Consider the following 25718-nt stretch of genomic DNA (forward strand, 5'->3'; position numbering starts at 1 on the left):
TGGAGTAAAAAAAAATAAAGAAAATCAAACATCAAAGGAAATGCTGGAAGTGTGGGAATGGATAAAAGGAGCACAGGAAAAGTGTGCAGAGCATTGTTATCCAAAGTGCTGTGGGAATTTTATACACATATGAATACAACTCGCAAAACACACAAATATTTTTGCTTCCCTGGATCATTTACTGGAGTCTTTTACATACACATTCTGAAGTATAAGGTATGCAGAATTTTCTAAGCGTATCATAGAATTCCATTCCAAGAATACATTTCAGGAAAACTATTGTCAATCAGGGAAACATTGGTGCAGAATAGTAAGAAAAGAAATACCCATTAAGACTAGTACTTACACAGTGGACGTGAAAAAACTAGGCAGCAAGGAGTTATTAAAAAGAAAGCATGGGCTGGGCATTGTGGCTCATGCCTATAATCCCAGCACTTTGGGAGGCCGAGGCGGGCGGATCACCTGAGGTGAGACCAGCCTGACCAACATGAAGAAACCCCACCTCTACTAAAAATACAAAATTAGCTGGGCATGGTGGCACATGCTTGTAATCGCAGCTACTCGGGAGGCTGAGGCAGGAGAGTCTCTTGAACCTGGGAGGCGGAGGTTGCAGTGAGCTGAGATCACACTGTTGCACTCCAGCCTGGGTGAAAAGAGGGAAACTTCGTCTCAAAAAAAAAAAAGAAAAAAGAAAAAAAGAAAAAAAAGAAAGAAAAAAATAAAAGAAAAAATGAAAGCATGGGGCCAACATTGAGTGGTCTTAAGGAAGTCAAGGTAGAAGGAAATTTAAAGAAGGAAATGAGAAGCAATGCAGAATGTTTAGAAAGGTCAATTAGGAAGCTCCCATAAATATTCTCACTATGTATTATAGGGAATTCATTTATAACTTCAAAAATACCACTCAAAAAAGATGGTAATTGTTGAAATGAGATTTCAATGGGTGAAAGAGGCTGGGCACAGTGGCTCATGCCTGTAATCCCAGCACTTTGGGAGGCTGAGGTGGATGGATCACAACATCAGCAGTTCAAGACCAGCCTGGCCAAGATGTGAAACCCCATCTCTACTAAAAATACAAAAATTAAACGGGCATGGTGTTGGGCGCCTGTAATCCTAGCTACTTGGGAGGCTGAGACAGGAGAATCACTTGAACCCGGGAGGTGGAGGTCGCAGTGAGCCGAGATGATGCCACTGCACTCCAGCATGGGTGACAGAGCAAGAGAAAGAAAAGAGAAAAGAAAAGAGAAGAGAAGAAAGAAAAGAAGGACGGAAGGGATTTTAAAAAGAGATGAGAAGTCAGTACACTCTTTTGGAGGAAGTGTAATTTATGATTGTGGCTATAACTTGCTACGAATGGAAACAGCAACACACCACTGGATTTCAACTTTTGAGTGCTTAAGAAGGTGGAGATGTTGATTAAAATAATAATAATAATAATGCTAAGTGTGTAATAGTTGCTAAGTGTGTGTTGTCTGAACCCAGGATATCAGGATGTCTGGAACTGGTATTTAATCCCAGCTCTTCCACTTTCTGGTTATATGAGTGACTGTAGACAAATTACTTAATCTTTTAATGCTCCAGTTTCCCATATGTAAAATGAGAATTATAATAGTAAACTACTTCATGGCTTGTGAGGATGAAGTGCATGTAGAGTACTTAGTGAGTTCTCTTTGTGTATTATGTATTAGTTTCAAAATGCAGATTCTAGAGCCCTTAGATTCTCATTCAATAGGTATGAGGCAAGCACGGGCCAGGATTCTGCATTCTTTAAGGAGGTGTAATTTCCTACATCTGCTGTGACAAAGTGGTTCACATTAGGTGGCTTAAAATGAGATAAAGTTATTCTTTTACGGTTCAGGAAGCTAGAAATCTTAAATGAAGGAGTTAGCAGTGCTGCATTTTTCTCTGAAGGACCTGGGAAAAAATCCTTTCTTGCTTCTTCTAGCACCGGGTGATCACTGAGCTTCATTGTCATTGCTTGGCTGGAGGATACCTCACTTTATTCTCTACCTCCATCCTCACATGGCCATCTCCTCCCTGCGTCTCTGTTTCCTCTTCCCTTCTTATGAGGATATCAACCATACTGAATTATGGCCCACTCTAATGCATTATGAGCTCATCTAGCATATCATAATTATACAGCATCTGCAAATAATTTGATTTCAAATTAAGTCATACCCTCACAGACATCAGGGGCTAGAACTCTAATATATATATTTTCTTTTTGAAGACACAATCTAACCCACAAAAGGAGGGGAGCCGCTTAAGATCATAAATAACTCAAGTAACAAGACTGTGTGTTTAAAATAGCATTTAAATTTCTCCAAATGGCAGACAGCTTAATTCAAATCAATACCAATCAGGAGATAAACAAGTGTTTGTCTCCTAATTGGCATTTACCTGAGATTAAAACATTATGGTAAAATACATTATCTTCAGTGATCTTTGGTTTAGGTGAGCATTCACAAGGCACACAGTTATTATCACTTGAGCCATCTCTCTCTAATAACTCTTTTCTAATCTGCTGGCCAACAATATCAGGTTCTTTCAAATCTCTGATTATCGGACCAAACCATAAGGTCCTCCACGTGAATTGGTAGAAGTATTTTTTACAAAGGTAAATGAAATTTTATTTACTTGATGGATTTCTCTTCTCCTTTGTACAAAGGGGTGACCCTTTGACAGCACAGGGAAAGAACATGATAGAAATAGACTTTCAGAAGGAAGGGCCTTCCATAACAAGGAATGCCATCTGTAATCCAGACTTTTTCCTCCTCAGGAATCCAGTCATAGGCAAATCTCTATGAATCACAGATAAATGGAAAGAAGGGTGGGAGTGTGTCAGGAGTAGGATGCTGAAAATGTGAGTAGCCTGTTCATTAATTGGTCCCTTGGAAACTGAGAAGGCAACGTGGCATACATGCAATTTCCATGGAATGATGGAAGACTGGTTGTAGTTAGTATGATACTATAATGCTCAGATCACAACGGGGTCACCCTTATTCATGATTGAGCATTCCTTCTTATTAGTATCCCAATGTGAAATTGTTTCTCAAAAAAGGAGGGGGCGGGTAATTTTTGTACAAAAGGCTTTTACTCCAAAATAAAGTGGCTTCTACTGTATTTCTCCTCTGGAGCCTTGCCGCTGGCTCCATAGGAAAATTCTGCCTCTCATAGATACCTGAGGCATTGGATTCCCTAAACAGAATTGTAGATCCACTTGTACTGCAGGCCTCTGTAGTCCAAAACGTTTCTCTTTCTCTGAGTCCCACTCACAGCTGACATCCTTCTTAACATTTGCATTTTATTTAGAATACACATCCAAATATGTTTTATGTTGCCTCTAACATTCAAAAGAGCCTCTAACAGTTTTCCTTTCCCTATCCCTTCCTTCCATTTGAAAGATGTTTGCTCCACATCACTTTCTACTGCATTCTTAGACTCCCTGAAGTTAGGAAACCCACATTTTTGTCATTTGCTCGATGTGTCTTTCCTGAAGTCTATGGTAGCTGCTATTTTTCTCTGGAGCATATCAACCGGATGCTGTCCATGTATTCCATAAGTTATGTCCATTTGGCTAGTGACATGGCCAGGGTTCCTGAGTACAAAATTATGACACAGACAAAAATAGTTATACTTCTACAGCTAAATAGTGAAGACACTCTGCCTGGAAAAAGTAAGAAATTTCAGCTATTTACCATTTATTTAAGATACAGAAAAATAATTTTCCTAAATGTATAGCAGGAAAAGGAGATAAGTGTATTCACTAAAGCAAGGAGACTACATCTGGATTTTAAATGTGTGCCCTCAGATAGGATTCCAGTACACAGTGGCTGGATTCTGAGTGTTTGTCCCTCACACAGGATTACAGAACACTGCTATGAGGTTCTGAATGGAAAAGGAAATATCTTCACATAAAGACAAGAAAGAAGCATTCTGAGAAACTTCTTTGTGATGTGTGCATTCACCTCACAGAGTTGAACTTTTCTTTTGATTTAGCACTTTTGAAATACTCTTTTTGTAGTGTCTGCAAGTGGATATTTGGAGCGCTTTACAGCCTATGGTGGAAAAGTAAATATCTTCACATCAAAACCAGACAGAAGCATTCTGAGAAACTCCTCTGTGATCTGTGCATTAATCTCACAGAGTTGAATGTTCTCTTGATTGAGCAGTTTTGAAACACTCTTTTTGTAGAATCTGCAAGTGGATATTTTGAGTGCTTTGGGGCCTATGGTGGAAAAGGAAATATCTTCACATAAAAACTAGACAGAAGCATTCTGAGAAACTTCTTTGTGATGTGTGAATTCAACTCACAGAGTTGAAATATTCTTTTAATTGAGCAGTTTTGAAACACTCTTTTTGTAGTATCTGCAAAGTTGGAGGGCTTTGGGACCTCTAGAGGAAAGGGAAATATCTTCCCTTAAAAACTAGACAGAAGCATTCTGAGAAACTTCTTTGTGATGTGTGCATTCATCTCACAGAGCTGAACATTTCTTTTGATTGAGCAGCTTTGAAACACTCTTTTTGTAGAATCTGCAAGTGGACATTCGGAGCGATTTGAGGCCTATGGAGGAAAAGGAAACATCTGCACATAAAAACTACACAAATGCCTTCTGAGAAACTTCTTTGTGATGTGTGCATTCATCTCACAGAACTGAACCTTTCTTTTGATTGAACAGTTTTGAAACACTTCTTTTGAAGGATCTGCATGTGGATATTTGGATCAGTTTGGGGCCTGTGGTAGAAAAGGAAATATCTTCAAATAAAAACTACACAGAAGCGTTCTGAGAAAGTTCTTTGTGATGTGTGCATTCAACTCACATAGTTGAAGATTTCTTTTGATTGAGCAGTTTTGAAACAATCTTTGTGTAGTATTTGCAAGTGGATATTTGGAGCGTTTTGAGGCCTATTGTAGAAAAGGAAATATCTTCACATAAATACTAGACAGAAGCATTCTGAGAAACTTCTTTGTGATGTGTGCATTCATCTCACAGAGTTGAAACTTTGTTTTGATTGAGCAGTTTTGAAACACTCTTTTTGTAGAATCTGCGAGTGGATACTTGGAGTGCTTTGAGCTCAATGGTGGAAAAGGAAGTATCTTCAATTAAAAACTAGACAGAAACATTCTGAGAAACTTCTTCATGATGTGTGCATTCAACTCACAGAGTTTAAACTTTCTTTTGATTGAGGAGTTTGGAAAATCTCTTTTTGTAGAATCTGCAAGTGGATATTTGGAGCGCTTTGCGGCCTATAGTGGAAACGGAAATATCTTCACATAAAAACTAGACAGAAGCCTTCTGAGAAACTCCTTTGTGATGTGTGCATTCATGTCTCAGAGATGAACCTTTCTTTTGATTGAGCAGTTTTGAAACACTCTTTTTGTAGAATCTGCAAGTGGATATTTGGAGCGCTTTGCGGCCAATGGTGGTAAAAGGAAACATCTTCACATAAAAACTGGATGGAAGCATTCTGAGAAACTTCTTTGTGATTTGTGCATTCAACACACAGAGTTGAAACTTTCTTTTGATTGAGCAGTTTGAAACACTCTTTTTGTAAAATCTGCAAGTGGATATTTGGAGCGCCTTAAGGTCTATGGTGGAGAAAGAAATATCTTCACATAAAAACTGGACAGAAGCATTCTGAGAAACTACTTTGTGATGTGTGCATTCATCTCACAGAATTGAAACTTTCTTTTGATTGAGCAGATTTGAAGCACACTTTTTGTGGAATGAGCAAGTGGATATTTGGAGGGCTTCAAGACCTATGGTGGAAACTGAAATATCTTCACCTAAAAACAACACAGAAGCAGTCTGTGTAATTTCTTTCTGATGTGTGCATTCATCTCACAAAGTTGAACATTTCTTTGGATTCAGCAGTTTTGAAAAACACTTTTTGTAGTATCTGCAAGTGGATATTTGGAGCCCTTTGGGGCCTATGGTGGAAAGGGAAATATCTTCACCTAAAAACTACACAGAAGCATTCTGAGAAACTTCTTTGTGATGTGTGCATTCATCTCACAGAGTTGAACCTTTCTTTTGATTGAGAAGTTTTGAAACACTCTTTTTGTGGAATCTGCAAGTGGATATTTTTAACACTTGACAGCCTATGGTGGAAAAGGAAATATCTTCACATAAAAACTAGACAGAGGCATTTTGAGAAGCTCCTTTGTGATGTGTGCATTCATCTCACAGTGCTTAACATTTCTTTTGATTTAGCTGCTTTCAAATATTCTTTTTGCAGAATCTGCAAGTGGATATTTGAAGCGCTTTGAGGCCTATGGTGGAAAAGGAAATACCTTCACATAAAAACTAGACAGAAGCATTCTGAGAAACTTCTTTGGGGTGTGTGCATTCATCTCACAGAGTTGAACCTTTCTTTTGATTGAGCAGTTTTGAAACACTCTTTATGTATAATCTGCCAGTGGTTATTTTGAGCGCTTTGAGTCTTCTGGTGGAAAAGGAAATATTTTCACGTAAAAAGTAGACAGAAGCATTCTGAGAAACTTCTGTGTGATATATGCATTCATCTCACAGAGTTGAACCTTACCTTTGATTGAGCAGTTTTTAAACACTCTTTTTGTAGAATCTGCAAAAGGATATTTGGAGTGCTCTGAGGCCAGTGGTGGAAAAAGAAATATCTTCACATAACAACTAGACAGACGCATTGTGAGAAACTTCTTTTTGATGTGTGCATTCATCTCACAGAGTTGAACTTTACTTTTGATTGAGCAGTTTTGAAACCCTCTTCTTGTAGAATCTGCAAGTGGACATTTGGAGCTCTTTGGGGCCTATGGTGGAAAAGGAAATATCTTCACATAAAAACTACACAGAAGCATTCTCTGAAACTTCTTTGTGATGTGTGCATTCATCTCACAGAGTTGAACCTTTCTTTTCATTGAGCAGTTTTGAAACACTCTTTTTGTAGAATCTGCAAGTGGACATTTAGTGCGCTTTGTGGCCTAAGGTGGAAAAGGAAATATCTTCACATAAAAACTAGACAGAATCATTCCGACAAACTTCTTTGTGATGTGTGCATTCATCTCACAGAGTTCAAACATGCTTTAGATTGAGCAGTTTGGAAACACTCTTTTTGTAGAATCTGCAAGTGGATATTTTTAACGCTTGGCAGCCTATGGTGGAAAAGGAAATATCTTCACATAAAAACTAGACAGAGGCATTTTGAGAAGCTCCTTTGTGATGTGTGCATTCATCTCACAGTGTTGAACATTTTTTTTTTATTTAGCTGCTTTCAAATATTCTTTTTGCAGAATCTGCAGGTGGATATTTGAAGCTCTTTGAGGCCTATGGTGGAAAAGGGTCTGCAAGTGGACATTTGGAGAGCTTTGAGGCCTAAGGCAGAAAACAAAATATTTTCCTATTATAATTAGACAGAAGCATTCTGAGAAAGTTCTTTGTGATATGTGCATGCATCTCACAGAGTTGAAACTTTCTTTTGATTGAGCAGTTTTGACACACTCTTTTTGTAGAATCTCCAAGTGGACATTTGGAGCACTTTGTGGACTATGGTGGAAATGGAAATTTCTTCACATAAAAACTGTTCAGAAACATTCTGAGAAACTTCTTTGTGATGTGTCCATTCATCTGACAGTGTTGAATCTTTCTTTTGATTGAGCAACTTGGAAACTCTCTTTTTGTAGAATCTGCTAGTGGACAATTGGAGTGCTTTGAGGCCTATGGGGGAAAACAATCTTCACTTAAGTACTAGACAGAATAATTCTGAGAAACTTCTTTGTGATGGGTGCATTCATTTCACAGAGTTGAACCTTTCTTTTCTTTGAGCATCTTTGAAAAACTCTTTTTGTAGACTCTGCAAGTGGACATTTGGAGCTCTTTGTAGCCTATGGTGGAAAAGGAAATGTCCTCACATAAAAACTAGACAGAAGCATTCTGACAAACTCCTTTGTGATGTGTGAATTCATCTCACAGAGTTGTAACTTTCTTTTGATTGAACAGTTTTGAAACAATCGTTTTGTAGAATCTGCAATTGGACATTTGGAGCGATTTGCAGCCTGTGGTGGAAAACGAAATATCTTCATATAAAAACTAGAAAGAAGAATTCTGAGAAACTTCTTCATGATGTATGCATTCATCTCACAGAGTTTAACATAACTTTCAATTGAGCAGTTTTGAAACCCTCTTTTTATAGGAGCAGCAAGTGGACATTTGGAGGTCTTTGAGGCCTATGGTGGAAAAAAAAATCTTCTCATTATAACTAGACAAAAGCATTCTGAGAAACTTCTTTGTGATGCGTGCATTCATCACACAGAGTTGAACTTCTCCTTAGATTGAGCAGCTTTGAAACACTCTGCAAGTGGACATTTGGAGCGATTTGAGGCCTATGGTGGAAAAGGAATTATCTTCACATAAATACTATACAGAAACATTCTCACAAGCTTCTTTGTGATGTGTGCATTCAACTCACAGAGTTGAACCTTTCTTTTGACTGAGCAATTTTGAAACACTCTTTTTGTAGAACCCGCAAGGGACATTTGGTGTGCTTTGAGGCATATGGTGGAGAAGGAAATATCTTCACTTAACAACTAGGCGGAAGCATTCTGAGAAACTTCTTTGTGTTGTGTGCATTTATCTTACAGAGTTGAACCATACTTTTGATTGAGCAGCTTTGAAAAACTCTTTTTTAGACTCTGCAAGTGAACATTTTGAGCTCTTTCTGTCCTACGGTGGAAAAGGAAATACCTTCACATAAAAACTAGACAGAAGCATTCTGTGAAACTTCTTTGTGATGTGTGCATTCATCTCACAGAGTTGAACATTTCTTTTCATTGAGCAGTTTTGAAACACTGTTTTTGTAGAATCTGCAATGGACATTTGGAGGGCTTTGAAGCCTATGGTGGAAAAGGAAGTAACTTCCCATAAAAACTAGACAGAATCTTTCTTAGAAAATTCTTTCTGATGTGTGCATTCATCTCACATAGTTGAACATTTCTTTTGATTAAGCAGCTTTGAAACACTCTTTTTGTAGAATCTGTAAATGGACATTTGGAGTACTTTGAGGGTGATGGTCAATAACGAAATATATTCACTTAAAAACTAGACAGAAGCATTCTGTGAAACTACTTTGTGATGTGTGCATTCATCTCATAGAGTTGAACATTTCTTTTGATTGAGCAGCTTTGAAACACTCTTTTTGTAGAATCTGCAAGTGGATATTTGGAGCACTTTGAGACCTATGGTGGAAAAGGAAATATCTTCACATAAAAACTATACAGAAACATTCTGACAAATTTCTTTGCGATTGGTGTATTCATGTCACAGAATTGAACCTTCCTTTTAATTGAGCAGTTTTGAAACACTCTTTTTGTAGAATCGGCAAGTGGATATTTAGAGAGCTTTGAGGCCTATGTTGGAAAAGGAAATATCTTTACATAAAAACTAGACAGAGGCATTCTGAGAAACTTGTTTGTGATCTGTGCATTCGTCTCACAGAGTTGAACCTTTCTTTTGATTCAGAAGTTTGGAAACACTCTTTTTGTAGATTCTGCAAGTGAACATTTGGAGCTCTTTGAGGTCTATGGTCAAAAAGGAAATATCTTCACACAAAAAAAAGACAGAAGCATTCTGTCAAACTACTTTGTGATATGTGCATTCATATCATGGAGTTGAACCTTCCTTTTGATTAAGCATTTTTGAAACACCCTTTTTGTACTATCTGCAAGTGGACATTTGGAGTGCTTTGAGGCATATGGTGGAAAAGGAAATATCTTCACATAAAAACTAGACAGAAACATTCTGACAACTTTCTTTGCGATGTGTGCATTCATCTCACAGAGCTGAACCTTTCTTTTGATTGAATAGTTTGGAAACTCTCTTTTTGTTGATCTGCAAGTGGACATTTGGAGTGCTTTGAGGCCTATGGTGAAAAGGAAATATCTTCACATAAAAACTAGACAGAAGCTTTCTGAGCAACTTCTTTGTGATGTGTGCATTCATCTCACAGAGTTGAACATTTCTTTGTATTGAGCAGGTTTGAATCACTCTTTTTGTAGAATCTGCAAGTGGACATTTGGAGAGCTGTGTGGCCTATGGTGGAAAAAGAAATATCTTCCCATAAAAACTAGATATAATCATCCTGAGAAAATTCTTTGTGATGTATGTATTCATCACAGAGAGTTGAACCTTTGTTTTCATTGAGCAGTTTTGAGACACTCTTTTTGCAGAATCTGCAAGTGGACATTTGGAGCGCTTTGAGGCCTATGGTGGAAAAGGAAACATCTTCACATAAGCACTAGACAGAAGCATTCTGAGAAACATCTTTGTGATGTGTGCATTCATCTCACAGAGTTGAACATTTCTTTTGATTGAGCAGTTTGGAAACACTCTTTTTGTAGAATCTGTAAGGGGACATGCGGAGCTCTTTGAGGCCTGAGGTGGAAAAGGATATATCTTCACAAAAAAAACTAGGTAGAAGCATTCTGACAAACCTATTTGTGATATGTGCATTCATCTCACAGAGTTGAACCTTACTTTTGATTAAGCAGTTCTGAAAAACCCTTTTGGTGCTATCTGCAAATGGACATTTTGTGTGGTTTGAGGCCTACAGTGGAAAAGGAAATATGTTCACATAAAAATTAGACAGAAGCATTCTGACAAATTACTTTGTGATGTATGCATTCATCTCACAGAGTTGATCAATTCTTTTGAGTGAGCAGTTTGGAAGCTCTCCTTTTGTAGCATCTGCAAGTGGACATTTTGAGTGCTTTGAGGCCTATGGTGGAAAAGGAAATATCTTCACATAAATATTAGACAGAAGCATTCTGACAAATTCTTTGTGATGTGTGCATTCATCTCAGAGAGTTGAACCTTTCCTTCGATTGTGTAGTTTTCAAACACTCTTTCTGTAACATCTGCAAGTGGACATTTGGAGTGATTTGAGGCCTAAGGTGAAAAATGAAATATCTTCACATAATAACTAGACAGAAGCATTCTGAGAAAGTTTTTTGTGATGTATGCATTAATCTCACAGAGTTGAACCTTTCTTTTGATTGAGCAGCTTTGAAACACTCTTTTTGTAGAATCTGCAAGTGGACATTTGGAACACTTTGAGGCCTATGGTGGAAAAGGAAATATCTTCATAGAGAAATTTCTTTGTGATGTGGGCATTCATCTCACAGAGTTGAACTTTCTTTTGATTGAGCAGTTTTGAAACACTCTTTTTGTAGAATCTGCAAGTGGATATTTGGAGCACTTTGTGGCATATGGTGGAAAAGGAAGTATCTTCACTTAAATAGTAGACAGAAGAATTCTGACAAACTTCTTTGTGATGTGTGCATTCATCTCAGGGAATTGAAACTTACTTTTGATTGAGCAGTCTTGAAACTCTCTTTTTGTAGAATCTGCAAGTTGATATTTGGAGCACTTTTAGGCCTACGGTGGAAAAGGAAATATCTTCACATAAGAGCTAGACAGAAGCATCCTGAGAAACTTCTTTGTGATGTTTTCATTCAACCCACAGAGTTGAATCTTACTTTTGGTTGAGCAGTTTGGAAACACTCTTTTTGTAGAATCTGCAAGTGGACATTTTGTTCGCTTTGAGGCCTATGGTGGAAAAGGAAATATCTTCACTTAAGATCTATACAGAAGCATTCTGAGAAACTTCTTCGTGATGTGTGCAGTCATCTCACAGAGTTGAACATTTCTTTTGATTGAGCACCTTTGAAACATTATTTTTGTAGGATCTGCATGTGGACCTTTGGAGCGCCTTGAGGCCTGTGGTAGAAAAGGAAATATCTTCACATAAAACCTATACAGAAGCATTGAGGCCTTCATTGGAATCGGGTACATCTTCACATAAAAACTAGAGAGAAGCATTCTCAGAAACTTCTTTGTGATGTGTACATTCAACTCACAGAGTTGAACCTTTCTTTTGATAGAGCAGTTTTGAAACACTCTTCTTGTAGAATCTGCAACTGCATATTTGGACTGCTTCGAGGCATTCGTTGGAAATGGGATATCTTCACATAATCACTAGACAGAAGCATTCTCAGAAACTTCTTTGTGATGTGTGAATTCAACTCACAGAGTTGAACCTTTCTTTTGATAGGGCAGGTTTGAAACACTCTTTTTGACGAATCTGCAAGTGGACATTTGAAGCTCTTTGAGACCTATGGTGGAAAAGGAAATATCTTCACATAAAAACTAGACAGAAGCATTCTCAGAAACTTCTTTGTGATGTCAGCATTCCACTCACAGAGTTGGACACACTTTATCATAGAGCAGTTTTGAAACACTCTTTTAGTAGAATCTGTGAGTGGATATTTGGACCACTTTGAGGCTTTTGTTGGAAAAGGGAATATCTTCACATAATCTCTAGAGAGAAGTTTTCTCAGAAACTTCTTTGTGCTGTGTGCATTCACCTCACAGAATTGAACCTTTCTTTTGATAGAGCAGTTTTGAAACACTGTTTTTGTAGAATCTGCAAGTGGACATTTGGAGAGATTTGAGACCTATGGTTGAAAAGGAAATGTCCTCACATAAAATATAGACAGAATCATTTTCAGAAACTTCTTTGTGATGTTCGCATTCAACTCACAGAGTTGAAGATACTTTATCATAGAGCAGTTTTGACACACTCTTTTAGTAGAATCTGCAAGTGGATATTCGGACCGCTTTGAGGCATTCGTTGGAAGTCGGAATATCTTCAGATAATCACTAGATAGAAGTTTTCTCAGAAACTACTTTGTGATGTGTACATTCATGTCACAGAGTTGAACCTTTCTTTTTATAGAGCAGTTTAAGAACCCCCTTTTTGTAGAATCTGCATGTGGATATTTCAACCAGTTTGAGGTCTTCATTGGAAACGGGTATATCTTCACATAAACTCTAGACAGAAGCATTCTCAGAAACTTTTTTGTGATGTGTGCATTCAACTCACAGAGTTGAACCTTTCTTTTGATAAAGCAGTTTAGAAACCCTCTTTTTGTAGAATCTGCATGTGGATATTTGGACCAGTTTGAGGTCTTCGTTGGAAACGGGTATATCTTCACATAAACTCTAGACAGAAGCATTCTCAGAAACTTTTTTATGATGTGTGCATTCAACTCACAGTGTTGAAACTTTCTTTTGATAGAGCAGTTTAGAAACCCTCTTTTTGTAGAATCTGCATGTGGATATTTGGACCAGTTTGAGGTCTTCATTGGAAACGGGTATATCTTCACATAAACTCTAGACAGAAGCATTCTCAGAAACTTTTTTGTGATGTGTGCATTCAACTCACAGAGTTGAACGTTTCTTTTGATACAGCAGCTTTGAAACACTCTTTTTGTAGAATTTGCAATTGGATATTTGGTCTGCTTTGAGGCCTTCTTTGGAAATGGGAATATCTTCACATAAACACTAGACAGAAGCATTCCCAGAAACTTCTTTTTGAGGTGTGCATTCAACTCACAGAGTTGAACATACCTTATCATAGAGCAGCTTTCAAACACTCTTTTTGTAGAATCTGAGAGCAGATATTTAGAGAGCTTTGAGGCCTATGGTGGAAAAGGTAATATCTTTATATAAAAACCAGACAGAAAAATTCTCAGAAACTTCTTTGTGATGTGTGCATTCAACTCACAGAGTTGATAATTTCTTTTGATAGAGCAGGTTTGAAACACTCTTTTTGCAGAATCTCCAAGTGGACATTTGGAGCGCCTTGGGGCCTATGGTAGAAAAGGAATTATATTCACATAAAAACTAGACAGAAGCATTCTCAGAAACTTCTTTGTGATGTTTGCCTTCAACTCACAGAGTTGAACATACCTTATCATAGAGCAGTTTTGAAACACTCTTTTAGTAAAATCTGGAAGTGGATATTTTGAACGCTTTCAGGCCTTCATTGGAAATGGGAATATCTTCACATAAAAATTAGACAGCAGCATTCTCAAAAACTTCTTTGTGATGCGTACATTCAACTAACAGAGTTAAACCTTTCTTTTGATAGAGCTGATTTTAAACACTCTTTTTGTGGAATCTGCAAATGGACATTTGGACCGCTTTGAGGCCTTCGTTGGAAACGGGAATATCTTCACATAAACACCAGACAGAAGCATTCTCAGAAACTTCTTTGTGCTGTGTGCATTCAACTCACAGAGTTGAACCTTTCTTTTGATAGAGTAGGTTGAAACACTCTTGTTGCAGAATCTGCAAGTGGACATTTGGAGTGCCTTGAGGCCTATGGTGGAAAGGGGAGTATCTTCACATAAAAACTAGACAGAAGCATTCTCAGAAACTTCTTTGTGATGTTTGCTTTCAACTCACAGATTTGGACATACTGTATCATAGAGCAGTTTTGAGACACTCTTTTCACAGGATCTGCAAGTGGATATTTGGACTGCTTACCAGCCTTCGCTGGAAACAGGAATATCTTCACGTAATCACTAGACAGAAGCTTTCTCAGAAACTTCTTTGTGCTGTGTGCATTCAACTCACAGATTTGAAGCTTTCTTTAGATAGAGCAGGTTTGAAACACTCTTTTTGTATAATCTGCAAGTGGACATTTGGAGGGCTTTAAGCCCTACGGTGGAAAAGGAAATATCTTCCAATAAAAACTAGAGAGAATAATTCTCAGAAACATCTTGTGATGTTTGCCTTCAACTGACAGAGTTGAACATACCTTATCATAGAGCAGTTTTGAAACCATCATTTTGTAGAATCTTCAAGTGGAAATTTGGAGAGCTTTGAGGCCTAAGGTGGGAAAGGAAATATCTTCACATAAAAACTAGGCAGAAGCATTCTCAGAGGCTTCTTTTTGATGTTTGTATTCAACTGACAGAGTTGAACCTTTTTTTTGATAGAGCAGTTTTGAAACACTCTTTCTGTAGAATCTGCATGTGGATATTTGAAGCGCTTTGAGGACTTCATTGGAAACTGGAATATCGTCACATAAACACTAGACAGAATTATTCTCAGAAACTTCTTTGTGATGTGTGCATTCAACTCACAGAGTTGAACCTTTCTTTTGATAGAGAAGGTTTGAAACACTCTTTTTGCAGAATCTGCAAGTGGACATTTGGAGCGCCTTGAGGCCTATGGTGGAAAAGGAAACATCTTCAGATAAAAACTAGACAGAAGCATTCTCAGAAACTTCTTTGTGATGTTTGCATTCAACTCACAGAGTTGGACATACTTTATCATAGAGCAGTTTTGATACACTCTTTTAGTAGAATCTACAAGTGGATATTTTGACCATTTAGTGGCCTTCGTTGGAAATGGGAATATCCTTATATAAAAATTAGGTAGAAGCATTCTCAGAAACTTCTTTGTGTTGTGTGCATTCAACTCACAGTGTTGAACCTTTCTTTTGACAGAGCAGGTTTGAAACACTGTTTTTGGCCTCTCCCTCTCCCTCTCCCTGTCCCTCTCCCTCTCCCTCTCCCTGTCCCTCTCCCTCTCCCTCTCCCTGTCCCTCTCCCTCTCCCTCTCCCTCTCCCCACGGTCTCCTTCCACGGTCTCCCTCTGATGCCGAGCCAAAGCTGGACTGTACTGCTGCGATCTCGGCTCACTGCAACCTCCCTGCCTGATTCTCCTGCCTCAGCCTGCCGAGTGCCTGTGATTGCAGGCGCGCGTCGCCACGCCTGACTGGTTTTCGTTTTTTTTTGGTGGAGACGGGGTTTCGCTGTGTTGGCCAGGCCGGTCTCCAGCTCCTAACCGCGAGTGATCCGCCAGCCTCGGCCTCCCGAGGTGCCGGGATTGCAGACGGAGTCTCGTTCACTCAGTGCTCAATGGGGCCAAGGCTGGAGTGCAGTGGCGTGATCTCGGCTCGCTACAACCTCCACCTCCCAGCCGCCTGCCTTGACCTCCCAAAGAGCCGAGATTGCAGCCTCTGCCCGGCCGCCACCCCGTCTGGGAAGTGAGGAGCGTCTCTGCCTGGCCGCCCATCGTCTGGGATATGAGGAGCTCCTCTGCCTGGCTGCCCAGTCTGGAAAGTCAGGAGCCTCTGCCCGGCCGCCATCCCATCTAGGAAGCGAGGAGCTCCTCTTCCCGGCCGCCATCCCATCTAGGAAGTGAGGAGCGTCTCTGCCCGGCCGCCCATCGTCTGAGAGGTGGGGAGCACCTCTGCCCCGCCGCCCTGTCTGGGATGTGAGGAGCGCCTCTGCCCGGCCGCCCCGTCTGAGAAGTGAGGAAACCCTCTGCCTGGCAACCGCCCCGTCTGAGAAGTGAGGAGCCCCTCCGTCCAGCAGCCACCCCGTCTGGGAAGTGAGGAGCATCTCCGCCCGGCAGCCACCCCATCCGCGAGGGAGGTGGGGGGGGGTCAGCCCCCCGCCCGGCCAGCCGCCCCGTCCGGGAGGTGAGGGGCTCCTCTGCCCGGCCGCCCCTACTGGGAAGTGAGGAGCCCCTCTGCCCGGCCAGTCGCCCCGTCCAGGAGGGAGGTGGGGGGGTCAGCCCCCCGCCCGGCCAGCCGCCCAGTCCGGGAGGGGGGAGGGGGGGTCAGCCCCCTGCCCGGCCAGCCGCCCCGTCCGGGAGGGAGGTGGGGGGATCAGCCCCCCGCCTGGCCAGCCACCCCGTCCGGGAGGTGAGGGGCGCCTCTGCCTGGCCGCCCCTACTGGGAAGTGAGGAGCCCCTCTGCCTGGCCAGCCACCCCGTCCGGGAGGGAGGTGGGGGGGTCAGCCCCCCGCCCGGCCAGCCGCCCAGTCTGGGAGGGAGGTGGGGGGATCAGCCCCCCGCCCGGCCAGCCGCCCAGTCCGGGAGGGAGGTGGGGGGTTCAGCCCCCCGCCCGGCCAGCCGCCCCGTCCGGGAGGGAGGTGGGGGGATCAGCCCCCTGCCTGGCCAGCCGCCCCGTCCGGGAGGTGAGGGGCGCCTCTGCCCGGCCGCCCCTACTGGGAAGTGAGGAGCCCCTCTGCCCGGCCAGCCGCCCCGTCCGGGAGGGAGGTGGGGGGGTCAGCCCCCCGCCCGGCCAGCCGCCCCGTCCGGGAGGGGGGAGGGGGAGTCAGCCCCCTGCCCAGCCAGCCGCCCCGTCTGGGAGGGAGGTGGGGGGATCAGCCCCCCGCCTGGCCAGCCGCCCCGTCCGGGAGGTGAGGGGCGCCTCTGCCTGGCCGCCCCTACTGGGAAGTGAGGAGCCCCTCTGCCCGGCCAGCCACCCTGTCCGGGAGGGAGGCGGGGGGGGGGGTCGGCCAGCCGCCCCGTCCGGGAGGGAGGTCGGGGGGTCAGCCCCCCACCCGGCCAGCCGCCCTATCTGGGAGGTGAGGGGCGCCTCTGCCCGGCCACCCCTACTGGGAAGTGAGGAGCCCCTCTGCCTGGCCAGCCGCCCCGTCCGGGAGGGTGGTGGGGGGGTCAGCCCCCCGCCCGGCCAGCCGCCCCATCCGGGAGGTGAGGGGCGCTTCTGCCCGGCCGCCCCTACTGGGAAGTGAGGAGCCCCTCTGCCCGGCCATGACCCCGTCTGGGAGGTGTGCCCAGCGGCTCACTGGGGATGGGCCATGATGACAATGGCGGTTTTGTGGAATAGAAAGGCGGGAAGGTTGGGGAAAAAATTGAGAAATCGGATGGTTGCCGGGTCTGTGTGGATAGAAGTAGACATGGGAGACTTTTCATTTTGTTCTGTACTGGGAAAAATTCTTCTGCCTTGGGATCCTGTTGATCTGTGACCTTACCCCCAACCCTGTGCTCTCTGAAACATGTGCTGTGTCCACTCAGTGTTAAATGGATTAAGGGCGGTCCAAGATGTGCTTTGTTAAACAGATGCTTGAAGGCAGCATGCTCATTAAGAGTCATCACCACTCCCTAATCTTAAGTACCCAGGGACACAAACATTGCGGAAGGCCGCAGGGTCCTCTGCCTAGGAAAACCAGAGACCTTTGTTCACTTGTTTATCTGCTGACCTTCCCTCCACTATTGTCCTATGACCCTGCCAAATCCCCTTCTGTGAGAAACAGCCAAGAATGATCAATAAAAAAAAAAAAAAAAAAAAAAAAAAAAAAAAGAAACACTGTTTTTGTAGAATCCGTAAGTGAACTTTTGGAGCACTTTGAGGCCTATGGTGGAAAAGGAAATATGTTCACATAAAAACTAGACAGAAGTATTCTCAGAAACTTCTTTCTGATGTTTGCATTCAACTCACAGAGTTGAACATACCTTATGATAAAGCAGTTTTGAAACACTCTTTTAGTAGAAACTGTAAGTGGATATTTGGACCGCTTTGAGGCCTTCGTTGGAAACGGGAATATATTTACATAAAAATTAGACAGCAGCATTCTCATTAACTTCTTTGCGATGTGTACATTCAACTCACAGAGTTGAACCTTTCTTTTGATAGAGCAGTTTTGAAACAGTCTTTTGGAGAATTTTCAAGTGGATATTTTTACTGCTTTGAGGCCTTCGTTTGAAACGGAAATATATTCACATAAACACTAGACAGAAGCATTCTCACAAACTTCTTTGTGATGTGTGCCTTCAACTCACAGAGTTGAAACTTTCTTTTGAGAGAGCAGGTTTGAAACACTCTTTTTGTAGAATCTGCAAGTGGACATTTGGAGCGCTTTGAGGCCCAAGGTGGAAAAGGAAATATCTTCCCATAGAAACTAGACAGAAGGATTCTCAGAAACTTCTTTGTGATATTTGTATTCAACTCACAGAGTTGAACATAACATTTCATTGAGCAGTTTTGAAACACTCTTTTTGCAGAAACTGCAAGTGGAAATTTGGAGAGCTTTGAGGCCTTCGTTGGAATCGGTTATATCTTCACATAAACACTAGACAGAAGCATTCTCAGAAACTTCCTTGTGATGTGTACATTCAACTCACAGACTTGAAGCTTTCTTTTGATAGAGCAGGTTTGAAACACTCTTTTTGCAGAATCTGCAAGTGGACATTTGGAGGGCTTTCAGGCCTACAGTGGAAAAGGAAATATCTTCCCATAAAAACTAGACAGAAGCATTCTCAGAAAGTCATTTGCTATGTTTGCCTTCAACTCACAGAGTTGAAAATACTTTATCATAGAGCAGTTTTGAAACACTCTTTAGTAGAATCTGCAAGTGGATATTTGGAACGCTTTGAGGCCTTCGTTGGAAACGAGAATATCTTCACATAAAAACTAGACAGGAGCATTCTCAGAAACTTCTTTGTGATGTGTACATTCAACGCACAGAGTTGAACCTTTCTTTTGATAGGGCAGGGTTGAAACTCTCTTTTTTTAGAATCGGCAAGAGGATATTTGTGCTGTTTTGAGGCCTTCGTTGGAAGCGGGAAGATATTCACATAAACACTAGATAGAAGCATTCTCAGAAACTTCTTTGTGATGTGTGCATTCAACTCACAGAGATGAACCTTTCTTTTGATAGAGCAGGATTGAAATACTCTTTTTGTAGAATCTGCAAGTGGACATTTGGAGATCTTTGAGGCCTATTGTGGAAAAGGAAATATCTTTATATAAAAATGAGACAGAAGAATTCTCAGAATCTTCTTTGTGATGTTCGCATTCCACTCACAGAGTTGAACATACCATTTCATAGAGCCTTTTGAAACACTCTTTGTAGAATCTGCAAGTGGATATTTGGACCGCTTTGAGGCCTTTGTTGGAAACGGGAATATCTTCACATAAGTACTGGACAGAGGCATTCTCAGAAACTTCTTTGTGATGTGTGCATTCAACTCACAGAGCTGAACTTTCTTTTGATAGAGCAGGTTTGAAACACTCATTTTGTAGAATCTCCAAATGGACATTTTGAGAGCTTTGTGGCCTATGGTGGAAAAGGAAGTATCTTCACTTAAAAACTAGACAGAAGCACTCTCAGAAACTTCTTTTTGGTATTTGCATTCAATTCACAGAGTAGAAACTTCCTTTTCATAGATCACTTTTGATACACTCCTTTAGTAGAATCTGAAGGGGATATTTTGACCGCTTTGAGGCATTCGATGGAAATGGGAATATCTTCACATAATCACTAGACAAGGGTTCTCTGAAACTTCTTTGTGCTGTGTGAATTAAAATCACAGAGTTGAACCTTGCTTTTCATAGAGCAGGTTTGAAACACTCTTTGCAGAATCTGGAAGTGGACATTTGGAGTGTTTTGAGGCCTATGGTGGAAAAGGAAATATCTTCACATAAAAACTAGACAGAAGCATTCTTAGAAACTTCTGTGTGCTGTTTGCATTCAACTCAGAGACTTGAACATTCTTAATAATAGAGCAGTTTTGAAACACTCTTTTAGTAGAATCTGCAAGTGGATATTTGGACCGCTTTGAGGCCTTCGTTGGAAACGGGAATATCTTCACATAATCACTAGACAGAAGCTTTCTCCGAAACTTCTTTGTTCTGTGTGCATTCAGCTCACAGAGTTGATCCTTTCTTTTGATAGAGCAGGTTTGAAACACTTTTTTTGTAGAATCTGCAAGTGGACATTTGGAGAGCTTTGAGGCCTATGGTGGAAAAACAAATATCTTCCCATAAAAACTAGAGAGAAGCATTCTCAGAAACTTCTTTGTGATGTTTGCCTTAAACTCACGGAGTTGAACATACCTTATGATAGAGCAGTTTTGAAACACTCTTTTAGTGGAATCTGCAAGTGAATATTTGGATTGCTTTGAAGGCTTCATTGGAAATGGGAATATCTTCACATAAAAACTAGACAGCAGCATCCTCAGAAACTTCTTGTGATGTGTACATTCAACTCACAGAGTTGAAACTTTCTTTTGATAGAACAGTTTTGAAACACTCTTTTTGTAGAGTCTACAAGTGGATATTTGGAACGCGTTGAGGCATTCGTTGGAAATGGGAATATCTTCACATAAACACTAGATAGAAGTTTTTTCCGAAACTTCTTTGGCTGTGTGCATTCACCTCACAGAATTGAACCTTTCTTTTGATAGAGCAGGTTTCAAACACTCTTTTTGTAGAATCTGCAAGTGGACAGTTGGAGTGCTTTGAGGCGTACGGTGGAAAAGGAAATATCTTCACATAAAAACTAGACAGTAGCATTCTCAGAAACTTCTTTGTGATAGTGATGTGTGCATTCAACTCACAGAGTTGAACCTTTCTTTTGATAGAGAAGGTTTGAAACACTCTTTTTGCAGAATCTGCAAGTGGACATTTGGAGCCCTTTGAGGCCTATGTTGGAAAAGGAAGTATCTTCACATAAAAACTAGACAGAAGCATTTTCAAAAACTTATTTGTGATGTCTGCATTCAACTCACAGGGTTGGACATACTTTATCATAGAGCAGTTATGAAACACTCTTTTAGTGGAATCTGCAAGGGGATATTTTGACCGCTTAGAGGCCTTCGTTGGAAACGGGAATATCTTCTCATAAAAACTAGACAGAAGCATTTTCTGAAACTTCTTGGTGATGTGTGCATTCAATTCACAGAGTTGAACCTTTCTTTTGATAGAACAGGTTTGACACACTCTTTTTGTAGAATCTGCAAGTGGATTCTTGGAGCGCTTTGAGGCCTATGGTGGAAAAGGAAATATCTTCACATAAAAACTAGACAGAGGAATTCTGAGAAACTTCTTTGTGATGTGTGCATTCTTCTCACAGAGTTGAAACTTCCTTTTGATTGAGCAGTTTACAGACACTCTTTTTGTAGAATCTGCAAGTGGGCATTAGGAGCACTTTGCGACCTATGTTATAAAAGGAAATATCTTCACATAAAATCTAGACAGAACCAATGTGAGAAACCTCTTTGTGATGTGTGTTTTCATCTCACAGAGTTAAACCTTTCTTTTGATTGAGCAGTTTTGAACCTCTTTTTTTGTAGAATCTGCAAGTGGACATTTGGTGTGCTTTGAGGCCTATGGTGGAAAAGGAAATATCTTCACATAAAAACTAGACAGAAGAATCCTGAGAAACTTCTTTGTGATGTGTGCGTTCATCTCACAGAGTTGAACCTTTCTTTTGATTGAGAATTATGGAAAAACTCTTTTTGTAGATTCTGTAAGTGGACATGTAAAGCGCTTTGCAGCCTAAGTTAGAAAAGGAAATATCTTCACATAAAATCTAGACAGAAGCATTCTCAGAAACTTCTTTGTGATGTTTGCATTCAACTCACAGAGTTAAACCTTTGTTTTGATAGAGCAGGTTTGAAACACTCTTTTTGTAGAATCTGTAAGTGGACATTTGGAGTGCTTTGAGGCCTATGGTGGGAAAGGAAATATCTTCATATAAAAACTAGGCAGAAGCATTCTCAGAAAATTCTTTGTGATGTTTGCATTCTACTCACAGAGTTGAATATTCATTTTCATGGGGCAGTTTTGAAACACTCTTTTTGTAGAATATGCTAGTGGATATTTGACTGCTTTGAGGCCTTCGTTGGAAACGGGAATATCTTCACATAAATACTAGACAGAAGCATTCTCAGAAACTTGCTTGTAATGTGTGCATTCACTTCACAGAGTTGAAACTTTCTTTTGATAGAACAGTTTTGAAACATTCTTTTTGTAGAATCTGCAAGTGGACACTTGGAACACTTTGAGGCCTATAGTGGAAAAGGAAATATCTTCCCATCTAAACTAGAGAGAAGCATTCTCAGAAACTTCTTTTTGATGTTTGCCTTCAACTCACACAGTGGGACATACCTTATCATAGAGTCGTTTTGAAACACTCCTTTAGTAGAATCTGCAAGTGGATATTAGGTACCCCTTGAGACCCTCCTTGGAAACGGGAATACCTTCACATAAAATCTAGACAGCAGCATTCTCAGAAACTTCTTTTTGATGTGTACATTCAACTCACAGAGTTAAAACTTTCTTTTGATTGGGAAGTTCTGAAACACTCTTTTTGTAGAATCCGCTAGTGGACATTTGTAGCGCTTTTGGGCCTATAGTGGAAAAGGAAATATCTTCACATAAAAACTAGACAGAAGTATTCTCAGAATCTTCTTTGTGATGTGTGCCTTCAACTCAAATAGCTGAAACTTTCTTTTGATTCAGCAGTTTGGAAACACTCTTTTTGGAGATTCTGCAAGTGGAAGCACTCTTTTTGTAGATTCTGTAAGTGGGCATTTGAAGCGCTTTGCAGCCTAAGTTAGAAAAGGAAATATCCTCACATAAAATCTAGACAGAAGCAATGTGAGAAACTTCCTTGGGATGTGTGCATTCATCTCACAGGGTTAACTCTTACTTTTGATTGAGCAGTTTTGAAACTGTCTTTTTGTTGAATGGGGAAGTGGACATTTGGAGCACTTTTAGGCTTATGGTGGAAAAGGAAATATCTTCACATAGAAACTAGACAGAAGCATTCTTAGAAACTTTGTGATGTGTGCACTGATCTCACAGAGTTAAGCCTTTGTTTTGATTGAGCAGTTTTGAATCTCTCTTTTTGTAGAATCTGCAAGTTAACATTTGGAGCGCTTTGAGGCCTGTGGAGGAAAAGGAAATATTTTCACATCAAAACGACACAGAAGAATTCGGAGAAGCTTCTTTGGATGCATGCGTTTATCTCACAGAGTTGAACCTTTCTTTTGATTAAGCAGTTTGGAAACACTCTTTTTGTGGAATCTGCAAGTGGACATTTGGAGCGCTTTGCAACCTATGTTAGAAAAGGAAATATATTACCATAAAATCTAGATAGAATGAATCTGAGAAACTTCTTTGTGATGTGTGCATTCATCTCACAGAGTTAAAACTTTCTTTTGATTGAGCTGTCTTGAAACTCTCTTATCGTAAAATCTGCAAGTGGACATTTGGAGCGCTTTGAGGCCTATGGTGGAAAAGTAAATATTTTCACATAGAAACTAGACAGAAAAATTCTGAGAAATTTCTTTGTGATGTGTGCTTACATCTCACAGAGCTGAACCTTTCTTTTGATTGAGAGTTTGGAAGCACTCTTTTTGTAGAATCTGCAAGCGGACATTTGGAGTGCTTTGTGGCCTATGGTAGAAAAGGAAATATCTTCACATAAAATCTAGATAAAAGCAATCTGAAAAACTTCTTTGTGGTGTGTGGATTCATCTCACAGAGTAAACCTTTCTTTTGACTGAGCACTTTGGAAACTCTCTTTTTGTAGAATCTGCAAGTGGACATTTTGAAGGCTTTGAGGCCTATGGTGGAAAAGGAATTATCTTCACATAAAAAATAGATAGAAGCATTTTTAGAAACATCTTTGTGATGTGTGCATTCATCTAACGGATTGAAACCTTTCTTTTGATAGAGCAGTTTTAAAGCTCCCTTTTTGTATAATCTCTAAGTGGACATTTGAAGGGCGTTCAGGCCTATGGTGAAAAATGAAATATCTTCATGTAAAAAGTACATAGAAGAATTCTGAGAAACTACTTTGTGATGTGTGCATTCAACCCCCAGATTTGACCATTCCTTTGAAGGACCAGTTTTGAAATACTCTTTTTGTAGAATCTGCAAGTGGACCTTTCGAGTGCCTTCGGGTCTACCGTACAAAAGGAAATATCTTCACATAAAAACTAGAAAGAAGAATTCTGAGAAACTTCTTTATAATGTGTGCATTCATCTAGAAAGTTGAACATTTCTTTGATTGAGCAGTTTGGAAACACTCTTTTTGTAGAATCTGCAAGTGGACATTTGGAGCACTTTGATTCCTATCATGGAAAAGGTAATATCATCACATAAAGACTAGACTGTAGCTTTCTCAGAAACTTCTTTGTGATGTTTGCATTCAACTCATAGAGTTGAACATACCTCTTCATAGCACAATTTAGAAACTCTCTTTTTGTAGAATGTGCAAGTTGTTATTTGGAACTCTGTGAGGCCTTCGTTGGAAACGGGAATATCTTCACATAAACACTAGACAGAAGCATTCTCAGAAACTTCTTAGTGATGTGTGCATTCAACTCACAGAGTTGAACCTTTCTTTTGATAGAGCGGGTTTGAAAAACTCATTTGGTAGAAACTGCAAGTGGACATTTGGAGAAATTTGAGGACTATGGTGGGAAAGGAAATATCTTCACATAAAAACTAGACAGAAGCATTCTCAGAAATTTCTTTGTGATTTGTGCATTCAACTCACAGAGTTGAAACTTCCTTTCCATAGAGCAGTTTTGAAACACTCTGTTCGCAGTATCTGCAAGTGGATATTTGGAACGCTTGGAGGCCTTCTTTATAAACGTGAATATCTTCACATAAAAACTAGACAGAAGAATTCTCAGAAAATTTTTCTGATGTGTGCATTCAACTCACAGCGTTGAAACTTTCTTTTGATAGAGCACGTTTCAAACACGCTTTTTGTAGAATCTGCACGTGGACATTTAAAGCACTTTGAGGCCTGTGGTGGAAAAGGAAATATCTTCCCATAAAAAATAGACAGAAGCATTCTCAGAAACTTCTTTGTGATGTTTGTCTTCAACTCACAGAGTTGAATATACGTTTTCATAGAGCAGTTTTGAAGCAGTCTTTTAGTAGAATCTGCAAGTGAATTTATGGACCGCTTTGAGGCCTTCATTGGAAACGGGAATATCTTCACATAAAAAGTAGATAGAAGCATTCTCAGAAGTGTATTTGTGATGTGTACATTCAACTCACAGAGTTGAACTTTCCTTTGATAGAGCAGTTTTGAAACACTCTTTTTGTATTATATGCAAGTGGACAAATGGAGCGCTTTGAGGGCTATGGTTGAAAAGGAAATATCTTCCCATAAATACTAGACAGAAGCATTCTCAGAAACTTATTTATGATGTTTGCATTCAGCTCACAGAGTTGAACATAGCTTTTCATGGAGCAGTTTTGAAGCACTGTTTTTGGACAATCTGCAAGTGGATATTTGGACCGCATTGAGGCCTTCATTGGAAACGGGAATAACTTCA

At 40.6% G+C, this 25718-nt stretch overlaps 1 protein-coding gene across 2 annotated transcripts in view, besides 3 other annotated features; it reads right to left on the reverse strand.

Annotated features, from left to right (window-relative positions):
- Positions 1–25718, reverse strand: part of ANKRD30BL (ankyrin repeat domain 30B like) — a 110443-nt gene that overhangs the window by 57340 nt on the left and 27385 nt on the right. The window lies entirely within an intron of this gene.
- Positions 8994–9495: an enhancer, noted in NCBI's record as "NANOG hESC enhancer chr2:132971497-132971998 (GRCh37/hg19 assembly coordinates)". NCBI's record gives its function as "activates a minimal SCP1, AML or CMV promoter by ChIP-STARR-seq in naive H9 embryonic stem cells {active_cell/tissue: H9 hESC(naive)}" and the evidence as "EXISTENCE:reporter gene assay evidence [ECO:0000049][PMID:30033119]".
- Positions 18171–18719: an enhancer, noted in NCBI's record as "OCT4 hESC enhancer chr2:132980674-132981222 (GRCh37/hg19 assembly coordinates)". NCBI's record gives its function as "activates a minimal SCP1, AML or CMV promoter by ChIP-STARR-seq in naive H9 embryonic stem cells {active_cell/tissue: H9 hESC(naive)}" and the evidence as "EXISTENCE:reporter gene assay evidence [ECO:0000049][PMID:30033119]".
- Positions 21652–22262: an enhancer, noted in NCBI's record as "OCT4-NANOG hESC enhancer chr2:132984155-132984765 (GRCh37/hg19 assembly coordinates)". NCBI's record gives its function as "activates a minimal SCP1, AML or CMV promoter by ChIP-STARR-seq in naive H9 embryonic stem cells {active_cell/tissue: H9 hESC(naive)}" and the evidence as "EXISTENCE:reporter gene assay evidence [ECO:0000049][PMID:30033119]".

Source organism: Homo sapiens, chromosome 2 (assembly GCF_000001405.40).
Source record: "Homo sapiens chromosome 2, GRCh38.p14 Primary Assembly".
Lineage (NCBI taxonomy): Eukaryota > Metazoa > Chordata > Mammalia > Primates > Hominidae > Homo > Homo sapiens.